The 18,456-nt window shown below is 46.5% G+C and overlaps 2 non-coding genes and 1 pseudogene across 4 annotated transcripts in view; 2 read left to right on the forward strand and 1 right to left on the reverse strand.

Annotated features, from left to right (window-relative positions):
* Nucleotides 1-6,134: 6,134 nt before the first annotated feature.
* Nucleotides 6,135-6,206, forward strand: TRC-GCA16-1 (tRNA-Cys (anticodon GCA) 16-1). Its single transcript has one exon. It is a non-coding gene; the product is annotated as a tRNA-Cys (tRNA).
* A 542-nt stretch (nucleotides 6,207-6,748) lies between these two features.
* The window catches only part of ZNF767P (zinc finger family member 767, pseudogene), a 77,637-nt pseudogene continuing 65,929 nt past the window's right edge, over nucleotides 6,749-18,456 (reverse strand). Inside the window, exons 4-8 of one of the 2 annotated variants that reach the window (NR_027788.1) lie at nucleotides 18,203-18,434; nucleotides 12,396-12,611; nucleotides 11,250-11,421; nucleotides 10,463-10,541; nucleotides 6,749-8,969 (exon numbers count right to left, since the gene is read on the reverse strand). The product of NR_027788.1 is annotated as a zinc finger family member 767, pseudogene, transcript variant 1 (transcript). Of the gene's footprint in view, nucleotides 8,970-10,462; nucleotides 10,542-11,168; nucleotides 11,422-12,395; nucleotides 12,612-18,202; nucleotides 18,435-18,456 lie in introns of both variants that reach the window. The other variant, NR_027789.1, reaches the window with a different exon arrangement.
* TRC-GCA22-1 (tRNA-Cys (anticodon GCA) 22-1) lies at nucleotides 16,306-16,375 on the forward strand. Its single transcript has one exon. It is a non-coding gene; the product is annotated as a tRNA-Cys (tRNA).

Raw genomic sequence — 18,456 nt, forward strand, 5'->3', positions numbered from 1 at the left:
TTTAGGCAGAATAAAAATGATACCAGGCCAGGCACGGTGGCTCATGCCTGTAATCGCAGCATTTTGGGAGGCTGAGGCAGGTGGATCACGAGGTCAGGAGATCAAGACCATCCTTGCCAACATGGTGAAACCCCGTCTCTACTAAAAATACAAAAACAAGCTGGGCGTGATGGTGTGTGCCTGTAGTCCCAGCTACTCAGGAGGCTGAGCCAGGAGAATCTCTTGAAAGGAGGTGGAGGTTGCAGTGAGCCGAGATTGCACCACTGCACTACAGCCTGGGTGACAGAGCAAGACTCCCTCTCAAAAAAAAGATACCAGGTGGAAATGTGAATCTATAAAAGAAATACAGAGCATCAGAAATGGTAACTATGTGGGTACATCTATATACTTTTTCTTAAACTTTAGATCTGTTGAAAGATAACCAACTGTTTAAGCAAAAATAATAACAATGTAGTGTAATATTTGTAGCACATATCAAAGTATAATACACAACAACAATAACACAAAGTTTGGGAGGGGAGAAATTGAAGTATAACATTGTGAAGTTCCCAAACGTGCAATGGTATCATATCACTGGAAGATAGTCTGAGATAAGTTAAAGGTGTATAGTATAAACCATAAAACAATACTAAAATAACACAACAAAAAGTTGTAGCTAATAAGATAACAAAGGAGGGAACGTGAAATCATTTAAAAATAATAAATATAAAAGAAGGTAGAAATGAGGAAAAGCGGAATTAAAAAACACATGAAACACACAGAAAGTACAAAGATAATATATTTAAATTTAACTATGTCATAAATCTCATTAAATGTAAATGGTTTAAACTCATATAAATGACAGAGATTGTCAGATTTGATTTTAAAAAATCAAACATCTACATGCTGCTCCAAAGAAATACACTTTTAATATAAAAACATAAACTAAAATATATAGCATGCTAACAGTAATCAAAAGAAAGCTGGATTATCTACATTAGCATTACAAAAATTGGTTTTTAGACGAACAAATATTACCATAGATGAAGATAGTAATTCCATACTGATAAGGGGTCAATTGATCAAGAGAACATAACAATCCTAAAAGTTGATGCCCCTTATTAACAGAGATTCTAAACACATGCAGTAAAAAAGTTTCTGTATTAATTTGATTAGGATAATGGCCTCCAGCTGCATCCATGTTGCTGCAAAGGACTAGATTTTATTCTTTTTATGGCGGTGTAGTATTTCATGCTGTGTATGTAGCACATTTCCTTCATCCAATCCACCATTGATGAGCACCTACATTGATTCCATTTCTTTGTTAAATAGGCTACTTTCAAGAAATGCATTTTATTTATTTGAGACAAGGTCTCGCTCTGTCACTCAAGCTGGAGTGCAGTGGCATGATCATAGCTCACTGCAGCCTCAACCTCCCAGGCTCAAGCAATCCTCCTGCATCAGCCTCCTGAGTAGCTGGGACTACAGGGGCAAGCCACCACATCTGGCTAATTTTTGTTCTGTTTTGTTTTGTTTTGTTTTGTTTTTGAGATGGAGTCTTGCTCTGTCACCCAGGCTGGAGCACAGTGGCGTGATCTCGGCTCACTGCAAGCTCCACCTCCTGGGTTCACACTATTTTCCTGCCTCAGCTTCCCAAGTAGCTGGGACTACAGGCACCTGCCACCACACCCGGCTAATTTTTTTGTATTTTTAGTAGAGATGGGGTTTCACCGTGTTAGCCAGGATGGTCTCGATCTCCTGACCTCGTGATCCGCCCGCCTCGGGCTCCTAAAGTGCTGGGATTACAGGCGTGAGCCACTCTTCCCGGCCTAATTTTTGTATTTTTTAAGAGACAGGGTCTCACTATGTTGTCCAGGCTGAGATGCATTTTAAACATAAAAATACAGATAAGTTAAAAGTAAACAAATACAAAAATAAAGACTATACAAACACTAATTATAAGAAAGCTAGAGAGGCTATATTATCAGACAAAGTAGACTTTATAATAAGAAATATTGGCCGGGCGCGGTGGCTCACGCCTGTAATCCCAGCACTTTGGGAGGCCGAGGCAGGCGGATCACGAGGTCAGGAGATTGAGACCATCCTGGCTAACATGGTGAAACCCAGTCTCTACCAAAAATACAAAAAAAAAATTAGCCGGGCATGGTGGTGGGCGCCTGTAGTCCTAGCTACTCGGGAGGCTGAGGCAGGAGAATGGCATGAACCCGGGAGGCAGAGCTTGCAGTGAGCCGAGATCGCGCCACTGCACTCCAGCCTGGGTGATGCAGCGAGACTCCGTCTCAAAAAAAAAAAAAAAAAAAAAAAAGAAATATTTCCAGTGATAAAGATGGACATTTCATAATGATAAAAGGGTTAATTTATTAAGAAGATGTAAGAATCTTAAGTGTGTACATGCCTAATTACAGAGTTCCAAAACACATAAAGCAAAAACAAAGGGAAGCATAAAGAAAATTGACAAATTCACAATTATAACTGGAGATTTTAGTACTTTCCTTAGTAACAAGTAACACAAACAAGCAAAAAAGTCAGTAAGAATATAGATTTAAACCACACTATTAACCAACTTATTTAAATTGCACTTATGTAACACAACATCCAACAACTACACAATACACATTTTTTTCAAGTGCATATCGAATATTTACCAACATAGACCATATGTTGGGCCATAAAACAAGTCTGAATCAATTTTAAAAGCTTTGGATCATACAGAGTATGAACATCTATGAATGTGTCTCCTGGTGCACATGTAGCAGAGTTTCTATAGGGCATATGCCCGAGAGAGAAATGAGAGTATATGCATGAGTAGCTTTACTAAATAATACTAAACTGTTTTTCAAAGAAGTTATACAGGTGTATGATATGCTCTTACCAGCAGTGTAGAAGAGCTCTCATTGGTTTACATCATTGGAGTAGAAAATGTACTCTGACACCATGGAGTGCCAGGAAATTTAATTTCTTACTAATTTGGTGACGGCTGTAACATGGTATTCCATTTTAAATTGCATTTACCTGATTACCACTGAGGTTAAGCATTTTGTATATGTCTAGTAGTCTTTCCTGTTACTTCTAAGAAATGCTTGTCAAGTTCTTTGCTTATTTTTCTCCTCTCCTTTTGGCTATTTTCTTATCAAGATAGTCTGTATTCTGGATAGAAGTCCTTTGTTGACTACCTGGTTGTGCCAGAAATTAAACTATACTGTCTCTTAGCTCTGAGCCCACCCTTCTTGACCCTGCTTACTGAGGCTGTGGCACTCTGCAAACTACATTTCTCATCTACCTGCTGGCTTCCTGCAGATTCTGCTGATTGAAGCAATAGATGAGGATGGGACGGCAGAAAGAGAAGAATGGGACATGCTTTTGTTCCATTTGTTGTTCCCATCAGCGCAGCCCCAGCAATGACCCTTAATGCTGGAAGCACTGGGTCTTGTGCCAGCTTTCTTATGGCACTCCTGGAACCACCCTCATTGGCAGCGCTCTACCTTGGAAGACCCACCTTCTGAGCTCCTGAGTTACTGGCACCAGCTGGGCAGCACCCCATCCTCACAAGTGTGAGGTCCAATTCCTCAGAGCCCCTGCTCCACAATTCTCTATTCTGATAACTGCAGCCTCTTCACTTTTTCTCTCAAAACTAGCAGGAGAAAGCTGCTTCCAGACGTTATTATCTCTGCATCACCTTGGGGTTCTCTTTGCCTTTCCATTTCATGAATGCCTATTTAACCAATACTTTATAATCAATTCTTTCTGTTGAAATGCCGAGTGTAGTTTCTGATTTCTTACTCTACCTTGGCTGATACAATGATTCACAAACCTCTCTTCCTGCTATGTGACTCACCTTTTCACTATCTGAGGGCTTTCAGAACAGAGACGTTTCTTAACTGCAATGAACCAGAATGGATTAATACATGGATTAATAAATCTTTTTTTATATTGTCTTAATTTGAAAATCCTTCTTCTACTCCAATATCATAAGAATTTTCTCATATTTTCTAAATTTGTTAAAAAGATTTTTTTATATTTAGGTCTTGAATCCTCTTGGAATTTATTTTGTGAATGAATATCTAATTGTCCTAGCACTCTTTTATCAGAGAGTACACCCTTTCTTCACTGGTCTACAATGCTGCCTCTCTCATATATCAGGTTTCTATCTATGGATAGTCAATTTTTAGAATCCCCATTCTCTTCATTAGTTTTGTTTGTGTACCCTTATGTCAATACTACACGGTCTTATAACATTATAAGTCTTCATATCTGGTAGCGCTGGTTTCCTTGCCTAATTATTTTTCTTCAGATAAACTCTACCTATTCCCAACTCTTTATTTTCCCACATAATTTTTAACATTAGTGTGTCAATTACTATAAAAATCACTATTAGGATTTTGATTGCAATTGCATTAAATCTGTAAATTTGGAGAGCAGTATCTTTACAAAATTGTCTTGTCCTATCCAAAAACAAAGCATACTTCTCTACTTATTTAAGTACCCTTTAAATATTTCAATGAAGCTTTAAAATAGTCTAAACAAAGGTCTTGTACAACTTGTATTTATTCCTAGGGAGCCTGTATTTTTGTTACTCTGTTAAGAAATTTCATTTCTGTTACAGGTGTGTGGAAATATATTTGATTTAAAATAAGTTTATTGTATAACTTATTTGAATTTATTAAAATTAATAATTCAGATAATTTGTAGATTACTTTGTGTTTTCTATATAACCACAGTGTCACTGAAATAATGGGTGTTTTGTTTCTTCTATTCCACTGAAAAACCCTACTTTTTTGGTCTTAAATGCACTACCTCTAGCTTTTGGTGGTTTTAAATAGAAACAAAGCTACCACGCATCTTTGTCATTTCCAGTTTTTAAGAGAATGCTTCTAACGTTGCACCATTAAGTATGACGGTTGCTGGTTGTAGACTTTTGGACTTTTTAGAGTCTTATTGTTTAACAAGAAGAATTTTAACATGAGGATTTCTTTTAATTCCTTCCTTGCCTTTTCCCTTTCCAATAAGAGAGGACCATTGTTGGGGGAGCCAGAAGACCGAGAGAGTAGCCAGTGACAGAGCTCCACGTGTCTGTGAATTGGCTCATCTCCTCCAGCAAGAAAGATGGAATCTGAGCTCAGAAGAGTATGCATGCTCAGGTTTGGAGAACTGAACACCAAATAGCAACAGAGTTCATTTGACTGGTGCTACCTCAAGTAATTTATATTAACTCTATTCTTAGTTATTAACCTTGCCAATTTTGCTGTCTTTACTTCCCCCAATAAATATTTATTGCATCCCAACTTTTATGCTCAATATTGTGTTTGGCACTGTAGAAAGACACAAAGAGATTGCATTTTCCTTTGTGAGCCTCTGTGCATTCTGAGCTTTGGTCTCCGTGACAGTTATCACAGGCACTGCCACCATCTCATGTGACCCTTTGGGTGGGTGTCCTTTCTCTACATTTTTGAGATCTGTATGGCCTTTTAATGTCAGAAGTGGCCTTAATGTAGGATGTTGGCCAAGGGCCAGGTTCACTTTGCAGGACCTGTGGTGCTGTGCCTCAGGGCAGGGGTCTGCCCAGCAGAGGAGACATTTCTGGTCCTTGCTGCTTCAGTTGTGCTTCTAGCCTGAGGCCCCTTGGGACAGCTGGGGAAGCTTCCTGAGCTCCATGATGGGATTCAAATAATTCGAATTATTGGTATGGGCTTTCCTGGGTTCAGTCAAGACCATGCAAAAAACCAAGAATAGTTGACATGAGAATAAAAAGAGAGGAGATGAGCAGAAAAGCCCCCAATTCTATCCACTGGGGTAGGGGTGAGGGTGGAAAGAAGGGACGTGGGGACACATTCAAGTTAGTGGACTTTAAGGAGGAGATGAAGGAAGAAAGGAGTGGCCCTGCTCTTGGCAATGATTCTTCAAGCAGGTGTCTTGGAAGTGGTCCTAAGACGAGATGGAAGTGAGCTGAGGAGGCTTCTAGGGGACCAAGTAGGGAGGGATTAATAAGGAAGAAGAGGGCCAAAAGGGCTAATTTGCTGTGAGGCAAAATGTCCAAATCTCTAAAACTTTCTAAGAGTCAACGTAAATTTCAGTGCATAGATGTGAGTGTTGCAACATAGGTGAAAAGGTATTTAGTAGAAACTCCTAGAAGCTGAGGGGGTATAGCTCAGGGGTAGAGCACTTGACTGCAGATCAAGAAGTCCTTGGTTCAAATCCAGGTGCCCCCTGGAAAGAGTCTCTTTTTAGTACCACATACCAATTGGTACCTTTAGGTTGCCCCAGGTCCTATGGCAGGTTGAGGGGAGGTTCCTGGGAAGGAAGTGGAGGGAGAAGAGATGGAAAGGAATCTAGTCATCCTTTGGGCTGCGGCAATGGAAAGTCCCAAAACTAGGAATGTGGTTCTAGCTATGATCTTGTTATTAAGGTGATGTGTGAACTCATGCAGGCCTTTAGTCTTTGTTTTTTCTTTCAGGCATATAACATGCAAGTATAGACTAAAATCAAAGTTGCCAAACATGTCTGAGAACCAGAATGACCTGGGAGGGTGGTCAAGTATACAGATGCCTTGGGTCCCACCTTGAGATTCTGATTTGTTAGGTGTGAGGTTTGATTTTTCTTTCTTTTAATCTTCCCACATCACAGAAACACCAGATGATCTCCTGGGCCGCAAAATTCAGCAAACACTTAGGAAGCAGATTCACCACGTACCAGTTATTAATCTGCAGTTTGTACCACTTGCTCGAGTCCAGTGATGCAGAACACTCACACAGCAAGTTAAGCAAAGCAACTTTATTCCTTACAGGCAGGCAAGGGACAACAGAAGCCTGGGATGTAGGGTGAACTGGTCCCCCAAGGCTCAGGAACCTGCCCAGGGCAGATGGAGTCTCACCTGTGTGTCCCACTTCACACTGCAGCTGAGGGACCCTGAACGCCCTCTGCTGTCAAGTTTTATACCCCAAGGGCAACTTGGATCATTGGGCTAAAGCGTTGCAGGACATCCTGTTCTAGGTGTGATGGGAACAGAGTCCAGGTTTAGGACAGTTCCTCCTTATCTCAGGACAACACTCCCAGTACATTCTCTAGTTATTCTGAGAACTACAACCAAGAAAAGAGGGAAGCACCGGGTTGGCCAAGGCCATCCGGAGACTTGTCCTGCTGGGTCATTTAAAAAGCTTTTCTAGGATAACGTTGGCTTTCCAAGTGGTTTTCCAAGCTGATGTCTTTCCCACTGAGGAGAAGCTGTAGGCCTGTGGACTGCCAGGTAGGAGGAGGTTGAGGTTTAGAGGAAAGAGGAGAGCAGGAATGGGTTGTTTGCAGTGGGGCTGTTCCCATGGACTCACCAAGAAGAAATCGAGGTGCTGATGGGGCTGCACAAGTGCTTATCAGAAACAGCTGTAACAAGTGAGGGGTGCAACTGAAGGTACAGCATTTGCCTGCAGGCCAAGCGGTCTCTGGTTCAAATCCATGTGCCTCCCACCCCCCTTCAGTTTTCTACTTATTGAACAAAAGCCTTTTCACCTCGGGTCTATTATACTGGAATCTTCCTGCAAGGAGAGAAGAGAGGATAGACAGCATAGAGCTTTGCCAGGAAGCCTCTCTAGTTTCTTGTAGGCCCCAGTGAACTTCTCCAGGCGACTCTGTCCCCTCATTAACCCTTATCCTCAGAGCCTTGAAATGGGCCCAATTGTCCCATAGAACTGATGTTTATGGTTTTTCTTGAATAAACCTAGAAATTGACCCTCTCAGTCTTGAAACCCAAGGAGAAATTTACATTTATGTCATCTGAATTCCTTTCTCAGGAAACCAGCCAGCAATCCTCCCAGACGGTATCAAGAAACTGAAATTTACCAGATCCCCACATCTGGAAAGTGAGAAGCCAGACCCCTCACCCATCATGATTCCCCAGGTGACCACCTGCTGCCTGTTGGCCAACTCCTCTTCCTTGCCCCTCGTTAATCCCTGTTTTCCCACATGTAGTTACATTTCTTCCCTGCTATATAAACCCCTAATTTTAGTCAGTTGATGATGATGGATTTGAGACTGATCTCTTGTTCACCCTGTCTGTAGCACCTGGATAAAGCCTTCTTCCCTGACAATACTTGTCTCAGTGACTGGCTTTCTGTGAGATGAGCAGCAAGACCTAGATGGAACCCCTGGTGTTTCCGCAACAGCCTTGCAACTTTCACTTTCCCTGTGGGAACGCTCATCTCGGCCATCCCCTGGAAGGGCGGGTAGGGAATTGACTCCTCTGGAATCCTCACCCCCAGGGACTGTGTAGCATAGGGCCTTGCCTGGAGCAGGTCCCATGGCTGCAGCTGCTCCACCCTGAGCTGCTCTGGCAGGGTCTATACAGAGTGAAGGAACTAAAGGAAGAGCGGTGAGGAGGGCTCCTAAGTGGCACAATGACTGCCAGGAAGTGGCTGTTATAGGCAGGGGTTTGCAAGCTACTTTTAGTCAGGAGGCCCCACACTATGCCCTGGGGCTACTTCCCTGCCCCTTCTGTGTTTATGAAGCCCCAGTATCTGCTTCATAAACACCAGATGTGCATGTGGGGGGCATCTGTCTCCCACCTGAGCAGAGGCTCCCAGTGCCCACTGGGGTGAGTGAGCTGCAACGTCTTCTCAGGGAGGTGAACAAGGTGAAATGCTGTAACACTGACTGTTGGAATCTGGGAGAAAGACTGAAAGAGGCAGTGGTTTCCCCTGTGTCTGAATGAGTGCTCAATTATTCCTTGTGGCAGCATCCCGCGGATGATCAGTTGTTGCTTGCGGGCTTTGTTATTTCAAGTCAATAAAACCACATCCTTACCAATAGGGAGACATCTATTCAATTCCCTTCTGCAAGCGGTATCAGACTTCCACGTGTGGGTTCGCTGCCTCGTTTTATACTAGTTGAAATTCTTATTTGGGACTCGGGGGACCTCTCTTGCCCAGCATGCCCTGCTGGGCTCACTCCATTCGGTCTCTCCATGGAGTTAAAAGCAACAACAGCTAAAAGCAAAGATCCGAAACAAACAAAAAATAATAATTACTTTTTAAACAAAGAAAAAAAAAGCAAAGATGTGAACCCAATTCTGCTTAATCCCTAGCAGATTTTTTCTCCCTGAACAAGAGTATAACAGTCCATAATAACATAATTGTAGCTGCAATCTGCTTACTCCCATAAAATATTAGCCTAAGAGACAAACACTGCCACTTTCTAAGGTGCAAGTCAATTTCTTTTCAAGTTTTGAAGAGTGTAGAAGTTGGAGCCTCATGTAGGAAGCCTGGCCTTGCTCTTGCAGTGCTACAGGCAGGAGCCGTGCAGGCAGAAGGAGCCTCAGCAGAGGCCAGCATCAAGTGCGGGTCCTGGAGTGCCTGAGGACGGGGAGCGTGGGGAGTGGAGCAGGGAAGGTGGTGCAGGGAGTAGCAGGGGAACAGGATGCTAAAGATGGAAGGGCTTTATAGTCACCACACAGAATTTGGTTCCATGCAATGCAGCTCAGAGCTACCCTCCGTCCTTTTTCAGCTCTCCAGACTTCTTTTTCCCCTATGACTTCTACCCACCAACTTGCAGTCAGAAATGCGGATATAACTTTTGACTCCCCTGAAATGTAACTACTAATAGCCTACTGTTGACTGGAAGCCTTTCTGATAACATAAACAGTCAATGAACACATATTTTATATGTTCTATGTGTTATATACTGTATTCTTAAAATAAAGCTAGAGAAAAGAAAATATTAAGAAAATCATAAGGGAAAATTTATTTCCTATGGAATAAGTAGAAGTGAAGTGAATCATCATAGAAGTCCTAATCTTTGTCATCTTCACAGAGTAGGCTGAAGAAGAAAAGAGGGGTTGGTCTTACTGTCTTGGGGGCAGCAAAGATAGAAGACAATCTGTCTGTTAAGTGGACCCACAGTTCAAACCTGTGTTGTTCAAAGTCAACTGTAGTTTTACTTATAGACTTTACAGATTCAGGACCAGGCTTCCTGGGTCAAAGTAATGGGAAGTGCAGAACCACCTTTGCTGACTAATGCAAGCCCAGATGAAGGGCGCTTGAACTGGAAGCAAGGCCTCCTAGTCTGCACTCAGCTACTGCACCCTGGCACTGGCACCTGGGCTGGCTGAGCAGTATCTCTGACTCTGGAAGCTGAGTCCCACGCTCTTGTTGCCTGCGGCTCTTTCTTCACACCCAGAGTGGCTCTGGTTTACTAGCAGGCCTGCTCCCCTACTAAGAGGACACCTTGCTTCCCTTTCAGTCCCCTCTTCTGGCCATTTCAGCCAGCCCTCCTCAGCCTGAAGTCTTCAGCTCCTTGGAGGGCAGGTGGATAGAGAAGCTAGAACCACTTCCTCAGATCTCACTTGGGCTTTTCTGGTAGCTAGGGAGCTACTGTAATTTAAAAATCAGCTCACCCTCTGGGCGTGTCTCTCTGCAGAAGGTACGTGCTCTAAGAGGCGGTTTGTGCATGTGTTGCTGAAGGGGACTTAGGAAGTGCTTACCTTTATTCGAGATGATGGGGAATCTTCCAGACCAGGTATGACCACTGGGAAAAGTGACTGTCTGGAAAGCTGGGGTTGCCTAGAAACATATATGAAGGGGAAAGGTACTGTGACTTGGTGTTTGTTCCTCCCAGCAGGACCTGAATAATCCCTGGGGAGGGGGCTCTGCTGTTGGGCAGGCAGAGGACAGGACGCTCTGGCCCAGTGCAGCAAACACTCCAGGGGCTGCAGGCCACCTCCACCCTAACATCAGCCTTGCTGCAGAGCCCCCTGCCTGTGCTGATGTGGGAAGGGGTCCTGATTAGGGAGTGTGAATAGTCCTGTAATTGGGAAGATCTAGAGTTGTGAAATAATGTTCATTTTTTGAAATTGTGGCTTTGGGTGAAATTCAAACATTGCAGAAAGGTGAGACCTAAACATGGTACTTATGCTGAGACTCTGCTTGGGGGGCCCACCTGAGCAGCCAGCCAGCCCCCACCCTGATGATATTGCCACTGGATTACAAGGCATGGAGTGTCTCAGGCTTATCACAGGTAGGGGTGAGAATAAAACAGGAGTCATGGGCTTTGCATGGAGATACAGAAATAATCAGACAACTGAGGTCTCTGAAGCCTCAAAAGGACTGTGACTTTTGACATCACTAACGAAGTTTTAGGACTCAGGCCTAGACCACCCCTTCTCTAGCAGGAGTTCATTGATAGCTGACCTGATCAATGGCTTTACTGTTCTTCTACAAACACCTGTACCATATCACTCGTAGTTTCCGATCACTAATCACTCAACATACTCATATCTTTTATGGCCATTCTTTGTGCGTCTTTTCAGCTTCCCCCTCTGCTGTCGGCTCCTCTTCCCTTTCTTGGTGTCTGTTATGTTAACCATCTTGAAAAGAGAGAATCTGATTGGTTATTAACCCTGTGTGGGCAGAACTGCAGGTCACTGGTTCACTTGCATATTAGCTGGAAAGAGAGGAAAACGTCAAAGAAACTAATTAATATTCTGAGAGAAATATGAGAAAATATTCCATCTGTTAAACAAGACACATAAAAGGGTCAATTATAGAACAGATAACTTAGAAATTAAGAAAAAAGGATAGAAGATATAAAAAATTAAATAGAAAGTTTGAAAAATAAAGCTGAGGCAGCTTCCCAGAAAGTAAAATAAAACAAAAAGACAAAGGAAAAGATAGTAAGAGAGATAAAAATAAGAAAGTTAGAGGTTAAAACCAAGATGTGTAAAAACCAACTAACAGGCTTGGCACTGTGGCTCACACCTATAATCCCAGCACTTTGGGAGTTCCAGGTAGGAGGATCACTTGAGGCCAAGAGTTGAAGACCAGCCTGGACAACATGGTGAGATCCCTGTTGCTACAAAGAAAAAAAAAATCAGCTGGTCATCGTGGGGTGTGTCAGTAAGCCTAGCCATTCAGGAGGCTAAGGTGGGAGGATTGCTTGAGGTCAGAGGTTCAAGTTTATCGTGAGCAAGACACTGTCTCGAAACAAACAAAAACTAATAAAAGTCCCAGAAAGAGAACATGATGGAAAGGACATTATACAAGAACATTACTCGTAATGAAAGGACTTGGCTATGCATTAGAAAAGATACTTCAAATGCCCAACAAAATGAATAAAAAATTATCTTCATCGAGTACATCATAGTGTGATTACAGAATACCAGGACAAAAGGGAAGATCTTCAAAACTTAAAGAGTGAAAGAAACAGGTGATATACAAAAGATAGAGGATCACAATGGCACTTGACTTTTCTATAGCAATACTAGACACCAGAAGATAACAGAAACAATCCTTCACAATATGAAGGATTATAAGTTGAAACTAGAAATCTATGTCTGTCCAGACTGCTAATCAAGTGTGTAGGTGGAATTATGGACATTTCGAGGCATGCCAGGTCTTAAAAAATTCACCTCTACTCACCATTCCCAGAAAACAACTGGAGGACATCCTCTGCCAAAATGAGGAAGTAAATTAAGAAACATTCAAGACATGGAATCCAGGAGAAAGGGACTTGCACACAGGAGACAAGAGATGGAAAGAATGTCCTGGTGAGGGTGGAGGAAGTCCCGGGGCATGGGCTGAGCAGCAGGCTTTCCAGGGCAACCAGAACAAACAGAGCAGGAAGCCAGAGATCTACTGGAAAACAAGAAGTGAAAATGTTAATTATGTAACAGCTTTTACAGTGTGGTAAACTGACTTGACAGGCATTTCATGGAGCAATGAAAGGTTGTGGAAAACCGTAGATATTCCAAGAAAACCAAGCCGTTGAAAATGTGAGGCTATCAGTAACTTGAGGGGAAAAAAAGTTCCATCAGAACTCTTAGTTCAGCTTAGGATTATGTACATTGGGCATAAACACTATTAACTAATCATAATAATTAAAACATGGAAGATAAAATTGAACAGAAAGTAAATATATAGCATTTTATCTGAGAAGTTGATATATAGTAGGTATATTGGAAAACAGAAAAGAAGGCACATGGGTGATAATCCTCACCTACAAAAATAAGTCAGCTCTCCCTCTCCCTCTCCCTCTCGGTCTCCCTCTCCCTCTCCCTCTCCCTCTGGTCTCCCTCTCCCTCTCCCTCTCCCTCTCGGTCTCCCTCTCCCTCTCGGTCTCCCTCTCCCCACGGTCTCCCTCTCCCTCTCTTTCCACGGTCTCCCTCCCTTTCCACGGTCTCCCTCCCTTTCCACGGTCTCCCTCTGATGCCGAGCCGAAGCTGGACTGTACTGCTGCCACCTTGGCTCACTGCAACCTCCCTGCCTGATTCTCCTGCCTCAGCCTGCCGAGTGCCTGCGATTACAGGCGCGCGCCGCCACGCCTGACTGGTTTTCGTACTTTTTTGGTGGAGACGGGGTTTCGCTGTGTTGGCCCGGCTGGTCTCCAGCTCCTAACCGCGAGTGATCCGCCAGCCTTGGCCTCCCGAGGTGCCGGGATTGCAGACGGAGTCTGGTTCACTCAGTGCTCAATGGTGCCCAGGCTGGAGTGCAGTGGCATGATCGCGGCTCGCTACAACCTCCACCTCCCAGCCGCCTGCCTTGGCCTCCCAAAGTGCCGAGATTGCAGCCTCTGCCCGGCCGCCACCCCGTCTGGGAAGTGAGGAGCGTCTCTGCCCGGCCACCCATCGTCTGGGACGTGAGGAGCCCCTCTGCCTGTCTGCCCAGTCTGGAAAGTGAGGAGCGTCTCTGCCCGGCCGCCATCTCATCTAGGAAGTAAGGAGCGCCTCTTCCTGGCCGCCATCCCATCTAGGAACTGAGGAGCGTCTCTGCCCGGCCGCCCATTGTCTGAGATGTGGGGAGCACCTCTGCCCCGCCGCCCCATCTGGGAGGTGAGGAGCGTCTCTGCCCCGCCGCCCCGTCTGAGAAGTGAGGAGGTCCTCCGCCTGGCAACCGCCCCGTCTGAGAAGTGAGGAGCTCCTCCGCCCGGCAGCCACCCCGTCTGGGAAGTGAGGAGCGTCTCCGCCCGGCAGCCACCCCATCAGGGAGGGAGGTGGGGGTCAGCCCCCGCCAGGCCAGCCACCCCATCCGGGAGGGAGGTGGGGGGGTCAGCCCCCACCGCCCGGCCAGCCGCCCCATCCGGGAGGGAGGTGGGGGGATCAGCCCCCCACCCGGCCAGCCGCCCCGTCCTGGAGGGAGGTGGGGGAGTCAGCCCCCCACCCGGCCAGCCGCCCCGTCCTGGAGGGAGGTGGGGGGGTCAGCCCCCCGCCCGGCCAGCCGCCCCGTCCAGGAGGTGAGGGGCGCCTCTGCCCAGCTGCCCCTACTGGGAAGTGAGGAGCCCCTCTGCCTGGCCAGCCGCCCCGTCCAGGAGGGAGGTGGGGGGGTCAGCCCCCCGCCCGGCCAGCCGCGCCGTCCGGGAGGGAGGTGGGGGGACAGCCCCCTGCCCGGCCAGCCACCCCGTCCGGGAGGGAGGTGGGGGGGGTCAGCGCCCCGCCCGGCCAGCCGCCCCGTCCGGGAGGTGAGGGGCGCCTCTGCCCAGCTGCCCCTACTGGGAAGTGAGGAGCCCCTCTGCCTGGCCAGCCGCCCCGTCCGGGAGGGAGGTGGGGGGGGTCAGCCCCGAGCCCGGCCAGCCGCCCCGTCCAGGAGGGAGGTGGGGGGGTCAGCCCCCCGCCCGGCCGGCCGGCCCGTCCGGGAGGTGAGGGGCGCCTCTGCCTGGCCGCCCCTACTGGGAAATGAGGGGCCCCTCTGCCTGGCCAGCCGCCCCGTCCGGGAGGGAGGTGGGGGGGTTGGCCCCCCTCCCGGCCAGCCGCCCCGTCCGGGAGGTGAGGGGCGCCTCTGCCTGGCTGCCCCTGCTGGGAAGTGAGGAGCCCCTCTGCCCGGCCAGCCGCCCCGTCCGGGAGGGAGGTGGGGGGGTCAGCCCCCTGCCCGCCAGCCGCCCGTCTGGGAGGTGAGGGGCGCCTCTGCCTGGCCGCCCCTACAGGGATGTGAGGAGCCCCTCTGCCCGGCCACCACCCCGTCTGGGAGGTGTACCCAACAGCTCATTGAGAACGGGCCGGGATGACAATGGCGGTTTTGTGGAATAGAAAGGGGGGAAAGGTGGGGAAAAGATTGAGAAATCGGATGGTTGCTGTGTCTGTGTAGAAAGAAGTAGACATGGGAGACTTTTCATTTTGTTCTGTACTAAGAAAAATTCTTCTGCCTTGGGATCCTGTTGATCGGTGACCTTTTACCCCCAACCCTGTGCTCTCTGAAACATGTGCTGTGTCCACTCAGGGTTAAATGGATTAAGGGCGGTGCAAGATGTGCTTTGTTAAACAGATGCTTGAAGGCAGCATGCTCCTTAAGAATCATCACCACTCCCTAATCTCAAGTACCCAGGGACACAAACACTGCGGAAGGCCGCAGGGTCCTCTGCCTAGGAAAACCAGAGACCTTTGTTCACTTGTTTATCTGCTGACCTTCCCTCCACTATTGTCCTATGACCCTGCCGAATCCCCCTCTGCGAGAAACACCCAAGAATGATCAATACAAATAAAAATAAAATAAAATAAAATAAAAAAAGGGGGAAAAAAAATAAGTCAGCTAATGATGTCTAAATTTGATTAAATTAGACATACCATATTATGACATATTTATATTACTTAAAATTATAGAGGCAAATAGACTAGAAGAAACAGCCAAAAGGGTGGAGAGTGGCTGCCTCTGGGTGGCAAGAGGAAAATACAAAAGACTGAGGTTTCTTTTATTATAAGCTTTAAAAGCAATATTTGACTTTCAAAAATAGTTGCACAAGATACTTAGATGAAAACAAAAATATGTATAAGGTTTAAAATAGCCATGCACTGAGAATGGGGGTGTAGTTCAGGGTAGAGCTTTCCACACTAGCAGCGGAGTTTTCTGGCCAAAACCTGGAGGAGCTGTGTGGTCCTCATGCTATGTTGTCTCCATGATGCTTCCCAGGACTACTCTCTGATCCATGTCAGGGCCTGGGAACTTCCCTGTTTCATGAACTGGATTTAATGGACAGATTCCAGATTGAGAGATCTTCAGATGTCGGTATTGCATGTCTCAATTTGTGTCTCCAAACTGCTATTTTGTAGTGTAACAAGAAGAAATCAGACATGTAGACCTAAAGGCTGTTCCAGCAGTAAACGGAAACACTCCTCCCAGCTGCTCCTGTCACCACAAACTGAGGGAGGGCAAGGAGATGTGCCGGCATGTGAGCAGGGTCCAGGGTTTGGGAATTGGGGATGGACTTTTCTGGGGTGAGTTTATGGTAAAATCAGTTGCTGGTCTTACTCTCTAAAAGTAAGCAGGAACTTTCAATGTGCTATAGGACTGCTGGGTGCGATTACCAACATGAAAGGTGCTTATTAGACACTTATGACAAGCAGGGCGTATAGCTCAGGGGTAGAGCATTTGACTGCAGATCAAGAGGTCCCCAGTTCAAATCTGGGTGCCCACTGCACTTTTTCTATTCATACAAGCTGTTATGTTCTTCACAGAAGCTGTTGGTCATATTCCAGTTTCTTTTCATCCATTCCGCCTATGATTTTCCCTGGAACTGGAAGCTACAGCTCAGGCCTACCCAGCTGCAACCTGCCTCCATGCATAACTTCTTTTCATCTCTTCCAGCACCAGTTCCACGGGTATCCCTCATATTATTGGTATTCATGGTATCTAGCTCCCTGCTCCCCCTATAGATGTAATTTCTCAAGCTGTGATGCAGTATGCTTCTGGGTTTTTCCAGGGCAGACCAGAGAGTAGTACTGCAGCAGGCTCCCCCAGAAACAGATGGGGAATGGTACCCCAAGCTATCACTCTCCTGGCTCCTTCCCACAGCAGCAGTTTGGTGCACTGGAGTGGTGGCCAGACCTGGGGAGACACATCACAGCACACAGCATTCCCATGGAGGGCAGATGTTTCCCCTGGAGAATTGCTCCCACGCAGGGCTCACTCACACCCTTGCTTCAACCTTGTAGGCCAAAAGCCTGGCTCAGCTACTCTAACAAGGGAGACAGAGGCTCTGCAGTGCTGCCCCTACGACCAAACTCCTGTAGCTCTGCGGCTGCACGTGAATTACAGCCCACTCTGTGACTGTGGCCCAAGGCTTGGAGGTGGGGGATTAGACTCAAGAGTCTGTTCGTATGAGATGATTGGGAATTCCAACTTTGTTCTGTGGGCCACAGGGAGTCCTGTGTGCTGCAATGAAGAACCAGGTCAGGTCCTTTGTCTAAGGAGGTCATTTAGGAGACATTACAGATACTGGTTTGGAGTTTGCCGAAAGACAAGAACAGGAACTGGTGTTATTTTTTGAACACCTACTATGCCCTACTATGTGCTAATATCATGCTAGGCAGTTTATCATCAGTCATCATATTTGTCCACTCTGTCTTTACTGCAGGAAAAAGGAATTTGGGCTGGGAGGTCAGATTGGAATCTGTGGACTGTTTTGGAGACCAGTGGCCGGCTCTTGGGTTAACCCCAAAAAACAATGGGAAATGGCTGGGGGTTCCACAGGCAGCCTCCATCCTTTTCTCCTGTTCACGGCTCCACCAGAGACAGGACTGGTGAGCTGCAGAGCTGAGGGAAGGTGTCTAGCTGTGAATCAGGTCTGGCAGCTTCCAGAAAGTCAGTCCTAGAGGGAAGCCATTATTTAATTTTACAAAGCTGAGTGCTCCCACACTGATGAAAGGTATTAACTAGGTAACCTCAGTGTGCCATGGGGGTATAGCTCAGGGCTAGAGCTTTTTGACTGTAGAGCAAGAGGTCCCTGGTTCAAATCCAGGTTCTCCCTTCTGTTAAGTTTAATTTTGGTAGCGAACTTTATCCACATACAGCTTAGATTGGCATGGGCCACACTGATGTTCCTTCTATCTGTATAGGGTTTACCTCAATCCATTATAATCATCCAGATGCCCTGAAGGCTGCCTCGTCTTGGAATCCCCCACCTCATTAGTACAGTGCACTCAAAGCAGGTCTCAGGAATTGCTCAGTAGATAGCACTTCCAACCTCCCTAGCCACTCCCTCCATGCTCCTCCCCTCCAGACCCTCTCTCTACCTTCCATCCCATACTCCTGGTCAAGGAGAAATGGTGCTTGTTTTGGTCCAGAGCCAGCCACAGAGTGCAGAGCTGCATTTCTGAATTCTTAGAATTGGCAAGCTAAGGTTTGAGGGGTAGGGACTTCAGTCTCATGAGGCTGTGCTAACAAGGACAAGTACAACCTGGAGGGGAATACTTGAGGAGGCTGAGGCTGTCAGGAGAGTCACAGTAGTCACAGTCACTTACTCATTGAATGTCACCTATTGAAGAGGTGCCAAGCAGTTTGCCCCGCTCTGGAATTACGAAGATCACGTGTTCCTTGCATACATCTGGCAGCAGTGGGAAAACCTCAGAGTTCCTGTGGGATGTCTGATTTCTATTCCAAGAGGCAGGCTCTCCTGGATGCTTGCTGGGGCGTGTGAGGTGAGTGACAACTCGCATAAGTTACTCAATCTCTGCTGGGCCTCAGTTTCTGCATCTGTCAAATGGAAGACAATAAT

The sequence above is a fragment of the Homo sapiens genome, chromosome 7 (assembly GCF_000001405.40).
Source record: "Homo sapiens chromosome 7, GRCh38.p14 Primary Assembly".
Lineage (NCBI taxonomy): Eukaryota > Metazoa > Chordata > Mammalia > Primates > Hominidae > Homo > Homo sapiens.